Source organism: Homo sapiens, chromosome 6, assembly GCF_000001405.40.
Source record: "Homo sapiens chromosome 6, GRCh38.p14 Primary Assembly".
NCBI classification, from domain to species: Eukaryota; Metazoa; Chordata; class Mammalia; order Primates; family Hominidae; genus Homo; species Homo sapiens.
Window position 1 is genome coordinate 87,498,727 of NC_000006.12, and position 16,883 is coordinate 87,515,609.

The window sequence follows — 16,883 nt, forward strand, 5'->3', positions numbered from 1 at the left end:
ACCATTGCACTCCAGGTTGGGTGACAGAGAAAGACTCCGTCTCAAAAAAAACAAAACAAAACAACAAAGATGTAAGGAAAGTATATGGGGCATCTTAGATTTGCATTAAGCAGTTAAAAAAAAAGGCAAACATTAGTTTAAAGAGCCAATCTTCAGAAGCCTGGAAAACTCTCCTACATAGATTTTTTGGTGGAAAATCTGTGGTATTTTTGGTATTCTTCTGCTTTTCGAATAGAGTTTGTAGTCCACCACTAGGCTGTGTGCGTTCCTTTTCAGCATATAGACTTAACACTGTGGTGTGGGTTTGGATTTGGTAATACAAAGAGATCTGTAACTAAGAAGGATGTCTTTTGTTTCTGTGGCTTAGGTCAAAGTTCCTGTCTTATTAATTAAGCATTTTCTTGGAGGTAGAATGTTCTACAGCAAATAAATAGGCACAGGTTAGTCAATTTAATATAATGGACTTTTGCTTTCTCTCAGAACTTGGGCAATTATATTTGCAGCATTTAAAAATGAAAAAATTCAACTCACAACTGTTGATTCTAATATATTAACCAAAAATACAGAATCTCATTGTAATTATCAAACTTTGAGTTGGAACAGAGCTATTTCACCAACAAAGTATTATGGTTTTCTTAAGGATATCGTGAGCTGCAGTTAGGACCATTATTATAAAGCACTTCTTTTGGGGTATTGGTGCTTATTATAAAACATTGCTTTATTTTTACTTTCAGGAAATCAATGAGCTGATTTATGATACAGGAAATACAAGCCAGATTAGCCACGTCCTTCTGAAATAATAATAGCAAAAATAATAGTTAAGAGCATGCATAATCAATATGCAGTCAAACAGTAAACTTTATGTACATTAGAGATATAGTTTACTTTTGTTGGAGTTAGTAAATTATTCAGATCTGCTACAGAATTATACAGATATAAAGTATGAGAATATTCTTACATAAGGATTTATTATCTACTATATTTCATAAGTACTAAATTCATTTATAAATAATACTGACCTGACTCTTCCTAACCCACTTAACGAACTACCAAAGCCTTTTTATTTGCAATTAAATCTATTGTAATTTAAAAAAAACTTTAAAAATAGGCCAGGTGCAGTGGCTCACGCCTGTAATCCCAGTACTTTGGGAGGCCGAGGCGGGCAGATCACTTGAGGTCAGGAGTTTGAAACCAGCCTGGCCAACAATACTAAAAATACAAAAAATTTAGCTTGGTGTGGTGGTGGGTGCCTGTAATCCTAGGTACTCAGGAGGCTGAGGCAGGAGAATCACTTGAACACGGGAGGTGGAGGTTGCAGTGAGCTGAGATAGCGCCACTGCACTCCAGCCGGGGCGACACAACAAGACTCCATCTCAAAAATAAATATAAAAATAAAAATGGATATGCAAACTGATCAATTAAAAAGTAATCAGGGTGAACTTGATGAAATAGTTAAAGTAGCAGGGGATGAATTTTTTTATAGGTAATATCAACAGTTTTCCTAATCTCATTATTCAATATACTCAGAATCTCTCAGAGCTTTGACTAGAGATAGTGGTAAATCTAGTTGTTGTCATATTTTCCCAAACAGAACTATAATTTTTTAAAGAGGATACATTATTGGTATGTTTCTTTTAATCTAAAACTAGTTAGAAATTATTAGTTTGCTAAATTACAGCAAGCATAGTATGCTTGTCCTGTGTTTGAAGAAGTCTTATTAAAATAATACTCTTTAATTTTCTTCCTTACCACCCTCTCATCTCCCCCTTTTGTTTTCAAAGAGAAACTGGTAGTCTGGGTAGATTCAAAGCATCTTTAAGAGAAAATGTCTTGGGGAGCCCCAAGGAACTGTTGAAGTTAAGTGTGCCATCGTTAGTGTATGCTGTTCAGAACAACATGGCTTTCCTAGCTCTTAGCAATCTGGATGCAGCAGTGTACCAGGTAAGTGGAGTTAATGATAATGAAAAGCACAGAATCTTTTATGGTAAAAAGAGTTTTTATTAACTCTTTATCATATTATCAATTTTTTTTTTTTTTTTGAGATGGAGTCTCGCTCTTTCGTCTAGGCTGGAGTGCAGTGACGTGATCTCAGCTCACTGCAATCTCCGCCGCCCAGGTTCAAGCGATTCTCCTGCCTCAGCCTCCCGCGTAGCTGGGACTATAGGCACATGCCACCACACCCAGCTAATTTTTTGTATTTTTAGTAGAGATGAGGTTTCACTATGTTGGCCATGATGGTCTTGATCTCCAGACCTCGTGATCCACCACCCGCCTCGGCCTCCCAAAGTTCTGGGATTACAGGTGTGAGCCACCGTGCCCGGCCATTATCAAATATTTTTTATTGATAATTTTATCAATGATACCAGAAATAATATATTTGTATCAGAGACTAACATTAACTGAATTTATTAATTCATTCTCTTTTTTTTAGGTGACCTACCAGTTGAAGATTCCGTGTACTGCTTTATGCACTGTTTTAATGTTAAACCGGACACTCAGCAAATTACAGTGGGTTTCAGTTTTTATGCTGTGTGCTGGAGTTACGCTTGTACAGTGGAAACCAGCCCAAGCTACAAAAGTGGTGGTAAGAAACAAAATGCACACCATAACTTCCCATAAATAGAAAACTTCCTTAAGTCTTATACTGTTCAGTTACATTGATGCATGCAGCATGACTACATTTCTTTGATTTAAAATAACTTTTGCCTTATAGATAGGCCTTTTTTCTTTAGCATATTATTAGGGATAATAATACTTATTGGTTGTTTCTCAGAGGAGAATATGCATAAAATATGTTACAGATGGAACATACCTTAGAAATAATGTGTTCCATCCCCTCCATTTTATGGATGACAGTCCCCAAAGAGGTGAAGGAACTTGTCCTAAATTAGTTAATAGCTAACTTGTGACCACAACTGTGCCAGTTTCCATACTGTATATGTTTAGAACTTCTAGACCTCTTTCAAACATCTCAGAAACACTGGGCAAGGTTTTTCTGCATCTAGTTTTCATCTTCTCTCTCAACTGTCAGTCTCTGGCACATCTCCCTACTGTCAGTGATCAGGATGACAAGGGAAGGAGTGTTCTTACTGATAATTGATAATTATCTTTAGTTTTTAAGAGTTAATGTGAAGGTACATAACAGATTTTTAAAGAGTTAACGCTAAGATACATACATGATTTTTTTTCTTACATTGTATGCCTCAATCAGTTATTTCCCCAAAGAGAAACAGGAAATGGGATGCCAGTGAATAGTTTTGTGAAGGTCAGGAGTTTCCTACAGTTGAATATTTACTCTAACTTTTAGCAAACAGACTATGGTTCTCTTAGGAATGGAAGGCGGCTGGGATGTACAGTGCTTGTGAACAGTATCATATCCCCACCCTCCAGGTCCCCTCCTTCCCCAATTAAAACCCTACTGTTTCTTTCTATAATATGGTTTCTAGACAGACTTCCTGATCCCTGCCTTCTGCCCCTACACTTTTCCTTATATTTTTCTCCTAGATGCATTCATCTGTCATTATTTCTCAATATATCCTAAAACCCCACTGTCTCCCAATGTTGTCTAAGTAATACGAGGCACAGTTTGGTAATTACCCCTTTGTTCTGAATACCGGAGACTTGTTATACAGTCATGCATCGCTTAACAAAGAATGTAAGTTCAGGGTTCTGAGAGATGCATCATTAGGTGATTTCACTGTTGTGCAAACATCATGGAGTATACTTACACAAATCTAGATGGTATAGACTACTTACTACACATCTAGGCTGTACAGTATATAGCCTATTGTTCCTAGGCTACAAACTTCTGCAGCATGTTACTGTGCTGAATACTGTAGCGAGTTGTAACACAGTGGTAAGTTTAGCGTACCTAAACATAGAAAAGGCACAAATATAGTTTTATCTTACAGGACCGCTGTTTTATATGTGGTTCATCATGGACTGAAATGTCATTATGTGGTACATGACTGTTAATTTCTGGGGGGCAGGCAAAGTATCTATTTTACAATTGATCATAAACCACTACATGTAACTGTGTCACCCAAATAGTTTGTCTCAAATGTATCTTGTATCCCTCTCACCCCACTGTTCCCTCAATCTGTCTGCACTGCCATGCACTCCTCCACTACTGGTTAAGTGGGTTCCAAGTGTCAGGACTGGAATAGACTCTCATTGACACTAGAACTCAAACTCTGGCTTATTCTAAACCAGAATGCAGGTTGAGTTTGTATTTATTAAGCTCTTCTTGTTAGCTTTGGGTCATTGCTCAGCCCCTTGAGTTATTTCCAGTTCTTACCCATTATTAGCTTCTCCTTTGGGTATTACGCTTTCCAGAGTCAAAAAAAATATGCCTTCTGGGTCTTTAATGAAAATTTTAGGTAGAACAGGACCAGAGTTCTGTGGCTGTACCTTTAGAATTCTCTCTAGCTTGATCTTTTTCTTGCTTACTGAACATATCATCTCTCATAGTTTTTATGGGTCAGGAATTTGAGGGTGCCTTAGCTAGCTGGTTCTGGCTTGAGGTTGCAGTCAAGATACTGGCTAGGGCTGCAGTCAACTGAAGACTTGACTACGGCTGGAGGATCTGTTTCTAACGTGGCTTATCTATATGCCTGGCAAGTTGGTATTGGTTGATGGCCTAGCTTGATTTTGTTCAATTAACTACCATTTTTCTGTATGAGCATTCACACACTTACGGATTGTACCTTTATCCTCACTACAGTTCTGTGTTGTCTATAAAAATATTATGTGGCTGGTCGCAGATCACCAGGTGAGGAGTTCGAGACCAGCCTGGCTAACATGGTGAAACCCCGTCTGTACTAAAAATACAAAAACTTAGCTGGGCGTGGTGGCAGGCGCCTGTAATCCTAGCTACTCAGGAGGCTGAGGCAGGAGAATCGCTTGAACCTGGGAGGCAGAGGTTGCAGTGAGCCGAGATCGCGCCACTGCACACCAGCTCGAGTGATAGTGCGAGACTCTGTTTCAATAATAATAATAATAACAATAATATGCAAGTCTGTCACATTTTTTGCCAAACATTATCTCTATGGAATTCCCCTCATCACTTAACATTAGGAGTCCTTTCAGTAAGGAAATCTGGTATGTTTCACACTTGGTGAAGTCACACTATTTTCCACTGATGACCATTAAGCTTTTTAAGTACAAGTCATCTCTAAATCTGTTCTAACATTTTGCTGGTAATCAATGTAACAATAACAGCTGCAATCATTTATAATGCACTAAATACTAGCATTATCTAAATGCTTTATATACACTAACTCACCTACTTTTCTTGATAGTCTTTTAAATTTATTTAGCTAGGTAGTCTAGGCGGGGAGAATTGCTTGAGCCCAGGAGTTCAAGACCAGCCTGGGTAATATAGTGAGACCATGTCTCTACAAAAAAATTTAAAACTTAGCTAGATGTGGTGATGCATGCCTGTAGTCCCAGCTACTTGGGAAGCTGAGGTGGGAGGATCACTTGAGCCGAGGAGGTTGAGGCTGTAGTGAACCATGATTATACCACAAGATCCTGTCTCAAAAAGAAAAAAAAAAAAAAAAGCTTTCTTTAATGCCTTACAGGATTTTTTGCAAGCCTCCACTTATTCTGAGTTTTCGATTTCTTGATACTATTCTTAAATTCCTGGTTAGATTCCTCTTGGTGATCTGTACTTCGGCTTTGTTCTTGTAAAATCAGAATTCAGTGAAGATGCCCTTATTTAGATATGTTGATTTCCTTATGTATTCTTTTTTTTACTTTTCACCAGAACCTCCTTCTTCAGTAACTCTTAATCTCTCTTGAATGTTCTTCTCACGAGCCATGGAATTCTAACTTGAAGTTTTACATTTTTGAGTTTTGATTTATTCAGGACTGGAGCACATGTCTCTTAACTGTGCTGTGTTTGGCTCATGCTCAGATCACATGGTTGCTTTCTGCCAAAGTTCCCATCACATCTACTTCATCACCCAGCAGTTTCTTGTCAGAATCAAGTCCAGATAAGCTGTTTCCATCACTATTTTTCCTAACTGTAGAGACATTCAACTGGCAGGAAACTAAGTCAAGAATTTATCAGGCACTCTATTTTTAGCAGTTGGAGCTTCCCAGCAGATGTTGGGATAGGTGGTATCTCACACTATGATTTTATTCTATCTATGCCAGTCTTGAAATTTGTATTATAGGAAAGTATACTTGTTAATAATGTATAGTCTATAGCAGTGGTTCTCAAACTTTAGCGTACATCAGAATCAACTGGAAGGTTGGTTGAAACAGATTGCTAGGCCCATTCCCATAGTTTATGGTTCAGTAGGTCTGGGGTAGAGCCTGACAGTTTTTATTTCTAACAAACCCCCAGTGGTGCCACTGCTGCTGATCCAGGGTCCATACTTTGAGAACCACTGGTCTACAGTGTCTTCTGTTTCTCCTTTTATCTTCATGCAAACAATTTAGACCAAGCTTGCTCTCTCAGGTACCATAAAGTGGCACTTTTCTTATATCAGGCTTATTTATTTTGAACAAGGTATATACTTCCTTGTCATATTACAGTCATGAATCTCAACCCTCTAATTTCAGTGATACTATTGAGATAGTATTTATCTTTCAGGAAAGACTGATGAAAGCTCCTGACAGTTTAGAAAAGAAAGAGAAAATAAAGTGAAACAGAGGGTTAGGACCCATATACTTGGATCTGTGAGCACTGGTCTCACACTATTTTGGTTATATATACTTGTCAATTTTGCCTATACATAACAGAGCTGTGTATTGTAATCTTCTTTATTCATTTAGTATGTATCTTAGTCCATTTTCTGCTGCTATAACAGAATACGCAGAGTGGGTAACTCATAAAAAACAGAAGTTTATTTGGCCCATGGTTCTGGAGGCTGGGAAGTCCAGAACACGGTGCTGGCATCTGGTGAGGCTCATTCTATGGCAGAAGGCAGAAGCGATCCCATGTGACAGAGGGAAGTGGGCTGAACTCATCCTTTTTATCAGAAACCTGCTCCCTCAATAACTAACTCATTCCCTCAGTAATGGCATCAATCCCTTCTTGAGGACAGAGCCTTCATGACCTAATCATCTCTTAAATGCCCACCTCTTAATACTGTTAGAACGGCAATTAAATCTCAACATGTGTTTTGAAGTTGACATTCAAACCACAGCAGTGTGTATAGACAATGTATCTGGTACACAGAAGGTATACTAAAAATTCAATAAATTGGGGAGTCTTAAGAGGCAGCACTGTATCCTGTAGGTGATGAGGAATAAATAAGTTAAATTGTTATCATTTTCAGGATTGATGCTATAAGCTCTTAAATTAGAGTGATAATAGAAATTAAAATTAAGTAGTATGCTGACTTGGCCTGTTCAAAAGTTCATGCTAGAGTGCTTATTGGTATTAGGAAACAGTGGGCACATATTATATTAAGCATATACTATGGCTGTGATTTGAGGGACACATTTTTCACTTAAGCCAAGTGCCCTGGTTAATTTCTGGAATGGTCTTTTTGTTTAGTTGTCTTATTCTGTAGAATAGCTGTGTCTGATGTGGAATATACTTTTAGTAAGACTGTAACAGGTTTTTGTATTTATTTGTTTGGACTCTTGGATGAACTCTGTTTATTAGTCACTAAAAATAACTTTAACAATTAATATTGCAGGTGGAACAAAATCCATTATTAGGGTTTGGCGCTATAGCTATTGCTGTATTGTGCTCAGGATTTGCAGGTAAATCATGAAAGCATTGTTTTATTCTTTTGTCATATTTTTCGAAAACATCAAACTTTAGACACCAGTCTAGTTTATCTTGCTTTCTCAGTTTTATTCCCATTAAACTTGATCTTCTTGCTTATATTTAGTTTTATGTCAGCTGTTTTTCCAGTAAATGTATAGCATTGTTCAACTAAGTTCAGACTCAGTCCCTATTCATACTTGCAGTTAACTACTTCTGTTATCCTTGACCATCTCAGTCCGGCCAAAAACCCAAAAGTAAATGAAAAAAGACTTCTGAAAATGGAGGAAATTAGTCTTCAGAAAGCCCTTTCCTTTTTTCTGGAACTGCCACTATCAAGTCAGATCCTGCTGCTTTAGGTTGTTAATGTTACCAGCTAAGTATCTTTTTTTCCCCTATAACCTCAAGTTCTTTCTCTGCTTTAACAGGTTAGGAGCTATGGAGTAGGATCATGAGGTGGGTCGAGAGTACCTTAGAAAACATAATACATAAAGCTAATAACCAAACAGGGAGGAAAGACAACACAAAATCACTAACATCAACAATCCACGGAAGTCTGGCGTTGTATGTGTAGGGACAAGCACTCCTCCAATGCATCAAGATAAGAAAGTATGAATATTAAGTGTAACATAAAAAAAGTTTTAGAAATAGTTCCAGCAGAGATTTAGTTTTTAATATATTCTGCTTAAAGCTTTTAGTAGAATATATTAGTTATAGCTATACATCTTTATTATTTATTTGTACCTATTTCAAGTCAGGACTATTTTTGACTAGGAAAGCAGGCTGAATACAGAAGTAAAATACTGCTTGTAAATAAGATGTTTTATACGAGGGGAAAATTTAAATTCAGGAATATACTTACTGATAGCATTGTGTTCTAGAAACCAACAAATTGGGAACAAAAATTGAGTTACCTAAAAAATATGCTATTTGATTTTTTGCAATATTTTGAACAGTTAAATGATTATGTCCAACATTTTATTAGTTCACTCTCTTAATACACAATTGAGGAAATGGAGGGTGGTTTAATATCTCTCTGTGTTTACGGTAACTGAGCACTGGATAAATGCTTCTCCCAGAAGGTAAAATCAGAGGTGAAAATAAGAATAGCTATTTTATGTTCCCATTCCAACAGACTCATCAAAAATAATCTTGTTTTTCGTTAGACTTTTTAGTTGATAAGTACTTCATTGGCAGTTCCTAAGTCTCTAGCATGATATTTATAACTAAAATCTTTAATGGCTTTGTAAAATATGCATTCATTTTAAGCATAAATCCAGAGATAGGGGACTTTTGTTGGGGAGGGGTATCATGTACTCCTTTGAAGTATCTGAAAAAATCTATGGACCTTCAACTCCAGAAAAATGCACATATACACAAAATTTATTATCCAGTTGGGGAGTTCATGATCCTTCTGACCTTGTGTATGAACTTGGCTTGTGGAACCCTGCTTTAAAGGAAAATGGCTTTACACAGCAAATTCTACTTCAGTTTTGGTTGTTACTCTGAAAAGATTCCTAGTGGTGATTATAGATTATATTGCAGAATTAGGAGTATTCATTAGTAGGCAGATATTACAGGGATGTGATTAAGATAATTCACTCTTAATGTAGTTTTTCAGCTGACCAAAGCAAATGACATACTGGCATTAAGTAGTACAGAGAGCTTTTGTGGTCTTACTGCTCTAATAAAGGCAGAAACTGTCTTAATTTAACAGCCTTCTGTTAAATGTAGCTTATAAACTTCCCAATTAGTTATTATTCTATATACTCTGTAAAAACATAAATTTATAATGTACAGTATGTCATGTGTCACACAACCTACATAATAAATGCACATTTAAGTAAAGTATGTTTTGTTCCCCAAATCATATACTTTATATATCTCTAGGGTATTGTTCTAAATGAAAGACATTTTAAGTTAATTTATAGTAATCTTTAATATTTGCATGTCTAATTTTCTTTCAGGAGTATATTTTGAAAAAGTTTTAAAGAGTTCAGATACTTCTCTTTGGGTGAGAAACATTCAAATGTATCTATCAGGGATTATTGTGACATTAGCTGGCGTCTACTTGTCAGATGGAGCTGAAATTAAAGAAAAAGGATTTTTCTATGGTTACACATATTATGTCTGGTTTGTCATCTGTAAGTATCCAGGAATTAAAGGTTCTTAGTAGATCCTTTATTTTTTTTTTAAGTTAGATGTCCATTTTAAGCTGTTATAACATTTTGAAATTAATCCTTTGATACTGTAAATACCAGTTTGAATATAATTTTCATTTTGTTGACTTAGTTTTGATTGTGAAGGCAAAATTGCTTTGGGATAGCAATGCCCCAAAATATCTAACATTAGCAAAAAATGTGTAAAATTTAATAGACCACATAGCCCTCTGGGCATTGTTTTGGAAAAACAGTGTTATATAGGAACTACCAATTTTAGTACAAACTCTCAGATGGCTCCTTCTAAGGAAAACAGTATTTTCCTTTTCCTAGGTAAAGTATGGCATCTCTGGGGATGAAAATTGCCTCACCATTATGTAATGTTTCATTTATTTGAGTGATAAGATTTTATTTCTCTCTGTATACAAGTTCTTGCAAGTGTTGGTGGCCTCTACACTTCTGTTGTGGTTAAGTACACAGACAACATCATGAAAGGCTTTTCTGCAGCAGCGGCCATTGTCCTTTCCACCATTGCTTCAGTAATGCTGTTTGGATTACAGATAAGTATGTCTTAGTTTGTGTTGAGTTTTTAACATGGAAGAGCCTCCCATTTCCTTGATTCATTTAATCCCTTATTTAAAAGTGGCAGTTGGTCATACTGTTTACAGAAATTCCTAGCTTTGTTACTACAGTTTATTCCACCAGTACAGCTGTTCATAGTTGTGTGGGATGTGGCTAAGCAGTACTTTGGTTGTTTAGGTGGTCTTAGAGGTTAAGACGAGGGGTGCTAGTTCTATGTGAAAGTGAGGGGACTTTTTTTGCAGTCAAGGCCTCCCTGTATTTTTAGGTATTGTATATAGGACAACTTGAGTGTCTGAATGTGAGAAGGTACTCAAGGAAATACATATAAAGACTTTAGGAAATTATTTTCAGCAGTCAGTTTAAACTATATTGGCTCATTATTTAGAAGAATGTAGAAAACATCTTTTAGTCCTCCCTCAGCTTGTACTTTCCAACTGCTTTGCATTTGGGTGTGAGACGGTTTTGAAAACAATCAAAATCTAGATTTTGTCTTTTGTATCTTTGTTTCATTCAATATGTAATTAATACAAAACTCATTAATATAGCTGGCATTCCAGTACCACTGCTTTGTTAGTCCTAATATAATTTTCCCAACTCTCACACCCAGCATTAATTTGGCTTCTAAATTATTTAAGCAATGATATTGACTTAACATTTCAGGGTGCTTTTATAGTGTAATAATTTTCTTTACTGATCAATTATTATAATATAAACCAATGTATGAAGAATATCTGTTAAATATATTAAGTAAAAGAGACCTGGCTTATATTTACATTTCATTTTAAAATTGACTCCTGTATATAAATGGAAATAGTGTTGTAGAAATTTTAGAAAACCATGTATAGTCTGTGGCAAATCTTGCCTGTACCATTTCTTAACTGTGCAGCCTTGGGGAAGTTATATTCCCTGGGTGACACTTTCTTCATCTGTAAAATGGGAATAATATCACCTATTGCCTAGTGGTGTTTTCAGGTGAAGTGCTTAGAGTAGTGTTTGACACTACTTACCAACCACTTACCATTTCAGTATCAGGTACTTATAGGCTTTCCCTTAGATGTTTTTCTACCTGATTTGGGTGAACTTTTAGCTGTAATTCTGATCTATCTTTATGTTCAACAAAATCCTTATACCATTGCTCATAAGAAATATATAGGAACAGTAGAAAATGCTTTTGTTTAATGTTCTTACTGATGGTCAACTAGCATGTCTTAGCAATCTTTCAGTTAACTGTTTAGATACAAGTTTTTATCCTACCTTCTCCTTTTTTGAAGGCAAAGCTGGTCTTTTTTAGTTAGGAGTGAACTAAAATAAAGCTTGATGTCATATAAATATATTTATTTGTCAAGTTAGGACAAGTTATGATTTGGTTTCTTGCATCCTGATTTTTAAGATTAAAATGAAAAAAGGTGCCGGGCATGGTGGCTCATGTCTGTAATCCCAGCACTTTGGGAGGCTGAGGCGGGTGATAACCTGAGGTTGGGGACCAGCCTGACCAACGTGGAGAAATCCTGTCTCTACTAAAAATACAAAATTGGCTGGGCACGGTGGCGCATGCTCCTCCCGGCTACTCGAGAGGCTGAGGAAGGAGAATTGCTTGGACCTGGGAGGCAGAGGTTGCGGTGAGCCGAGATTGCGCCATTGCACTCCAGCCTGGGCAACAAAAGCGAAACTCCGTCTCAAAAAAAAAAAAGATGAAAAAAGGGTTAAGACTAGTAGGAAATGTAGTTTTATTCAGTAAATTATCGCCTCATCTCCGATTAAGAAATTATCAATGGTTTGAATGATTGGTCACCTGTCTTTTACTCTAAACTTTCACAGGTTCCTGGTTGTCACGGAAAAGCCAATCCTACCACATTTTCTTTTGTACTTATATATATTTATACTTACATTTAAAAAAAATTATATATTTTATAGGGAAATTAGTTATGTTCTTTGTCAGAGTGGTCAGATAGTGTCAGTTAGGCATACTCATGTTCTAAAAAGTCTGTAATCAGTGATCAACAAAACACTGCCTTGATTTTACCCGCCCTGCCTCCCCCTCTCCTTTTTTTTGGCTGTAATGGAAGACCTTTCTAAACCTTGCCATCATAAAAATATGATCTGATAGTGTAAACCCACAATTAAGAGTTTTCAAAATTTTAAACTGATCATTAGGCATTTTAAAGACACACATACAGATAAAGCTATTTTTTTTTTTCTTTTCAGCACTCACCTTTGCCCTGGGTACTCTTCTTGTATGTGTTTCCATATATCTCTATGGATTACCCAGACAAGACACTACATCCATCCAACAAGGAGAAACAGCTTCAAAGGAGAGAGTTATTGGTGTGTGATTTTAGCCTCACGTGAGACTCCTTTTAAGACTAAACCATTTGCATTAAACTAGAGCCTTAAGTCAATCTCAGAAGGTAGCATAAACAAATAAAAATTAACTGTATGGCATGATCAGTGCGGTTATGTGGAAACAACAACAAACAAACGAAGCTATCTGAGTGAACTGCTAATACAGAAACTTAATGTAGACCTGTTTGGGGTCTACTATTGTTTTAGAATGAAGGAATTGTATTATTGTGTGTATATATAATTTGTAAATAAAAAGTATGGAGATGATACGGTGTTAAAAAAAATCATGGTAAGGCTACAATACTCAAGTAACAAGGTTTGGGACAATGTCTAAGGGTTAAAGTGCCAAAGCCATTTCTGTACTAACTGTTCTCTTGTTCCGGTACCGGGGAGAAGGATGACCCCTCCTTATTCTCCAATTCATGTACAGTATTTTGTCCTAGCAGCATAAAGACCTAGCTCTTTTCTTACAAGAGGCAGAAACAAGACAGGCTAGTTCATAAACAAACTGTGTAACTTCTCAAAATGAATCTATTTCATAACTCGGACAATTTCTGGGTGGTGACTGAGTACCCCTTTAGTGAGTACCCCTTTAGTGCTATATTTGTGCCATTCATTATCTGGTTCATATTTCTTTTCTGTTAGATGATACACATTTCTTCAAAAAAATTTCTAATGTCACTTTTGTACTTTTTTAAATAAAGTATGTTTAACTGTTGGGCTCTCAATAATTTGTGAAATTTCAGTGTTTTCTATAATGTTAATGGGGAAATTCAGCAATAAACTTTATTTGTAAGAAAGAATTGTTTAATCACTTTATATTATAGATATGACCATTAAGATAATGCACTTTTATTTTCTATATGTAGAAATGCACTTTTATTTTCTATATGTGGAAGTCTATCGGTTAGGGTTCTCTGGCTGCAAATCAACTCAACTCTGGCAAGCCTTAAGCAAAAAAGAAAGAATTTTTAAGAAGGTCCACAATCAGGGCTACAGGCGTCTAGGTTCTAAGAATTAATGGACAGTTGTCTTTTCAGCTTTTGTAAAGATCTGGCTTTACCTATTACTGTTCCTGTATGGTTTCACTCACGATTCAAATACTCGGGAAGACACTACTGATCTTGGAAGGGGAAAGTTTCTTCAAACAAGTAGAGAGGGATATTGGATGTGTAAAACATGTCCCTACTTTATATTTTTATCCCATGGCTGGTTTATGCTAAGAAAAATGTGACACTACTTTAAGTCGAAAATTAGCTATCTGGGAGCTAATTCACTTAAATTGGAACTGCAAGGCTGAATCTTTTCTAGGACTAAGAAGGTAAGCCATAGTTGCTAATATGAAACAATTTTCACTCTAACTAGAGAAGCTTCAGTTGTGCTAACTTGGTAAATAGACCGTCACTGGTATTCAAAAGCCTACTATTAGCAACATTTAGAATAAATTATAGCAGACCTGAATGGAAATGCTGGCTGATGGGAATGGCCGTACTGATCAAACACATCACATCCTACTCTTGTTTCCTAAGCCATGCTCATGTTATCTAATGAAGCCACACAAAAATATGAAGATAGATACATGAAGGAAACCATAAGAAACTCCATTTCAAATTATGGTTGAATTAATGGACTACATTTTACAAAAAGATCCTAATTCAACGTCTTTACAAGTAATTCCTTCCTATTAAAATGTATTTAGTTCCTGAATTCACACAATAAGAGTTACCTGTGTGTGTGTGTGTATATATATATATATATATATATATATTTTTTATTTATTTTTTTTGAGACAGAATCTCGCCCTGTCGCTCAGGCTGGAGTGCAGTGGTGCGATCTCGGCTCACTGCAAGTTCCGCCTCCTGGGTTCACGCCATTCTCCTGCCTTAGCCTCCCGAGTAACTGGGACTACAGGCCCCGCCACCACGCCTGGCTACTTTTTTTGTATTTTTAGTAGATACGGGGTTTCACCGTGTTAGCCAGGATGGTCTCGATCTACTGATCTCGTGATTTGCCCGCCGCAGCCTCCCAAAGTGCTGGGATTATAGGCATGAGCCACCACGCCCAGCCCTGTATATATTAACTCAAAGGGAAGCACGAGGTCTATTGTCTCTAGGAGTAGCTGTCAGCTATATTGACAGAACGGTGCTTATTTTTGATCTCCCTATGTTTACTCCAAACTAGCCACAATTACAAGAAAATTGATAATATTTTCCCCTCACCAATTCTTTTATTTCATGAAAACATTAAATCATTTCAGTTATAAGAATAGTTTCTGGAAGAATGACATGGTAAGAAACTTCAAGCCAAAGTTTAAACTCAAATCCTTTAGCCCCATTAGACCACAATGCTTTGGGTTTAAAAAACTCAATGTCTATTTAAATACCTACTGACCATGAGAGAATTCAGATAACTCATTTATTTAAGGATAAAGACTGAATAACTTGACAAGTCACATTTAATACAGATTCTGACACAGAATAATAGTTTAACTTTGGCTGGGCGTGGTGGTTCATGCCTCTAATCCCAACACTTTGGGAGGCCAAGGCAGACAGATAACCTGAGGTCGGGAGTGCAAGACCAGCCTGACCAACATAGAGAAACCCTGTCTCTACTAAAAATACAAAATTAGCCTGGCGTGATGGCACGTGCCTGTAATCCCAGCTACTCAGGAGGCTGAGGCAGGAGAATTGCTTGAACCTGGGAGGTGGAGGTTGCAGTGAGCCAACATCACACCATTGCACTCCAGCCTGGGCAACAAGAGCGAAACTCCATCTCAAAAAAAAAAAAAAAAAATTTAAATTTATTCTGAACAGCAAGGCATCTCAGAATAGATAACTAGAATTCACTTGACATTTTAAAAGCCATTTTAATGGAAATTACATCCTACATACAGGTGTTATTCCAAGAAGTTTCATTCCATTGGCTAGGACAGAACGGACAGCTTTGAAAAGATGAAGTCTGGCCTACAAAATAAATCAAAGAATGATTTAAAATATTCAGTAACAGGAATGTATTCAATACATGAGAATGGTTTTAAAGGTTATTCTTTCTAGTTTAAAGCAGGAACAATATGTCAAAGTGCCCTAGAGTTACTATAGGCAAGAGAAGATAAATTCCTGGCATCCCTTACAGTAAAACCTGTACATAAAGTGTCATGGAGTGGGAGTGATAGTATTATACAGTATGGCTTCAGATAAGGGGAACTTATCACTGTAATATTTCATGTAGGAAAATGTGCTTTATAGTCTAGTATGTTGGGAAGTATATACACATTGATTGTTACAGCCTAATTATTAGCTAAGGAAGTATACTGCTACAGTTGAACAACAGAATGCTATTTTAGAAAAATTTACAAGACTGACTTAGTAATATTAGTCTCAGGAGCTAGGGATTATACAGAAAACATTCAACATAACGTACCCCAGCCACTTCAGGAGGACTATCTTTTATTTGTAGTGTTTTGTGTGCCACAGCTGCAAGATGACTGAAACAGGAAGAGAGAAATCACGATAGTACCAGCAGTAATTTCCTGTTGTAAGATATGAGCTTGATATCTAATCTTACTCCTTCAACTTAATAAAGCCCAGAACCATTAAAGGATGTATTCAAAATTGTGAAGTTGAAACTGGAATTCAAAACTCAAGCTTTAGATCTTGGCCCTATTCTACTACTAAGAGGTGGGCAATTCTTAAGATTATGATTTCGCAGGGCGCAGTGGCTCACGCCTGTAATCCCAGCACTTTGGGAGGCCGAGGCGGGTGGATCACAAGGTCAGGAGATCGAGACCATCCTGGCTAACATGGTGAAACCCCGTCTCTACTAAAAATACAAAAATTAGCCGGGCGTGGTGGCATGCGCCTGTAGTCCCAGCTACTCGGGAGGCTGAGGCAGGAGAATGGCGTGAACCCAGGAGGCAGAGCTTGCAGTGAGCCGAGATCACGCCACTGCACTCCAGCCTGGGCAAGAGTGCGAGACTCTGTCTCAAAAAAAAAAAAAGATTATGATTTCAATGTTAATTTTACAAATATAAAGAATCCTTTTCTAATCATTTTTCCTCATTTAGGCAGCCTACA

The 16,883-nt window shown here is 36.9% G+C and overlaps 2 protein-coding genes across 39 annotated transcripts in view; one reads left to right on the top strand and one right to left on the bottom strand.

Moving 5' to 3' along the window:
• Nucleotides 1-13,610, top strand: part of SLC35A1 (solute carrier family 35 member A1) — a 39,363-nt gene extending 25,753 nt beyond the window's left edge. Inside the window, exons 3-8 of one of the 2 annotated variants that reach the window (NM_006416.5) lie at nucleotides 1,782-1,941; nucleotides 2,432-2,584; nucleotides 7,656-7,722; nucleotides 9,694-9,870; nucleotides 10,315-10,449; nucleotides 12,673-13,610. In NM_006416.5, coding sequence (NP_006407.1) covers nucleotides 1,782-1,941; nucleotides 2,432-2,584; nucleotides 7,656-7,722; nucleotides 9,694-9,870; nucleotides 10,315-10,449; nucleotides 12,673-12,800 — 820 coding nt within the window. In that variant the 3' untranslated portion in view covers nucleotides 12,801-13,610. The remainder of the gene's footprint in view (nucleotides 1-1,781; nucleotides 1,942-2,431; nucleotides 2,585-7,655; nucleotides 7,723-9,693; nucleotides 9,871-10,314; nucleotides 10,450-12,672) is intronic. The other variant, NM_001168398.2, reaches the window with a different exon arrangement.
• RARS2 (arginyl-tRNA synthetase 2, mitochondrial) overlaps nucleotides 15,212-16,883 on the bottom strand; it is a 76,050-nt gene continuing 74,378 nt past the window's right edge. For 24 of the 37 annotated variants that reach the window (NR_146747.2, NR_134857.2, NR_146756.2 and 21 more), the window contains 2 exons: nucleotides 16,231-16,294; nucleotides 15,212-15,773 (listed from right to left, as the gene is read on the bottom strand). Coding sequence is in view for 14 of the 37 variants with exons in the window: in NM_020320.5 (NP_064716.2) it covers nucleotides 15,687-15,773; nucleotides 16,231-16,294 (151 nt within the window). In the remaining 23 variants the exon portion in view is untranslated. The remainder of the gene's footprint in view (nucleotides 15,774-16,230; nucleotides 16,295-16,883) is intronic. The other 13 variants (NR_146758.2, NR_146754.2, NR_146738.2 and 10 more) reach the window with 1 other exon arrangement.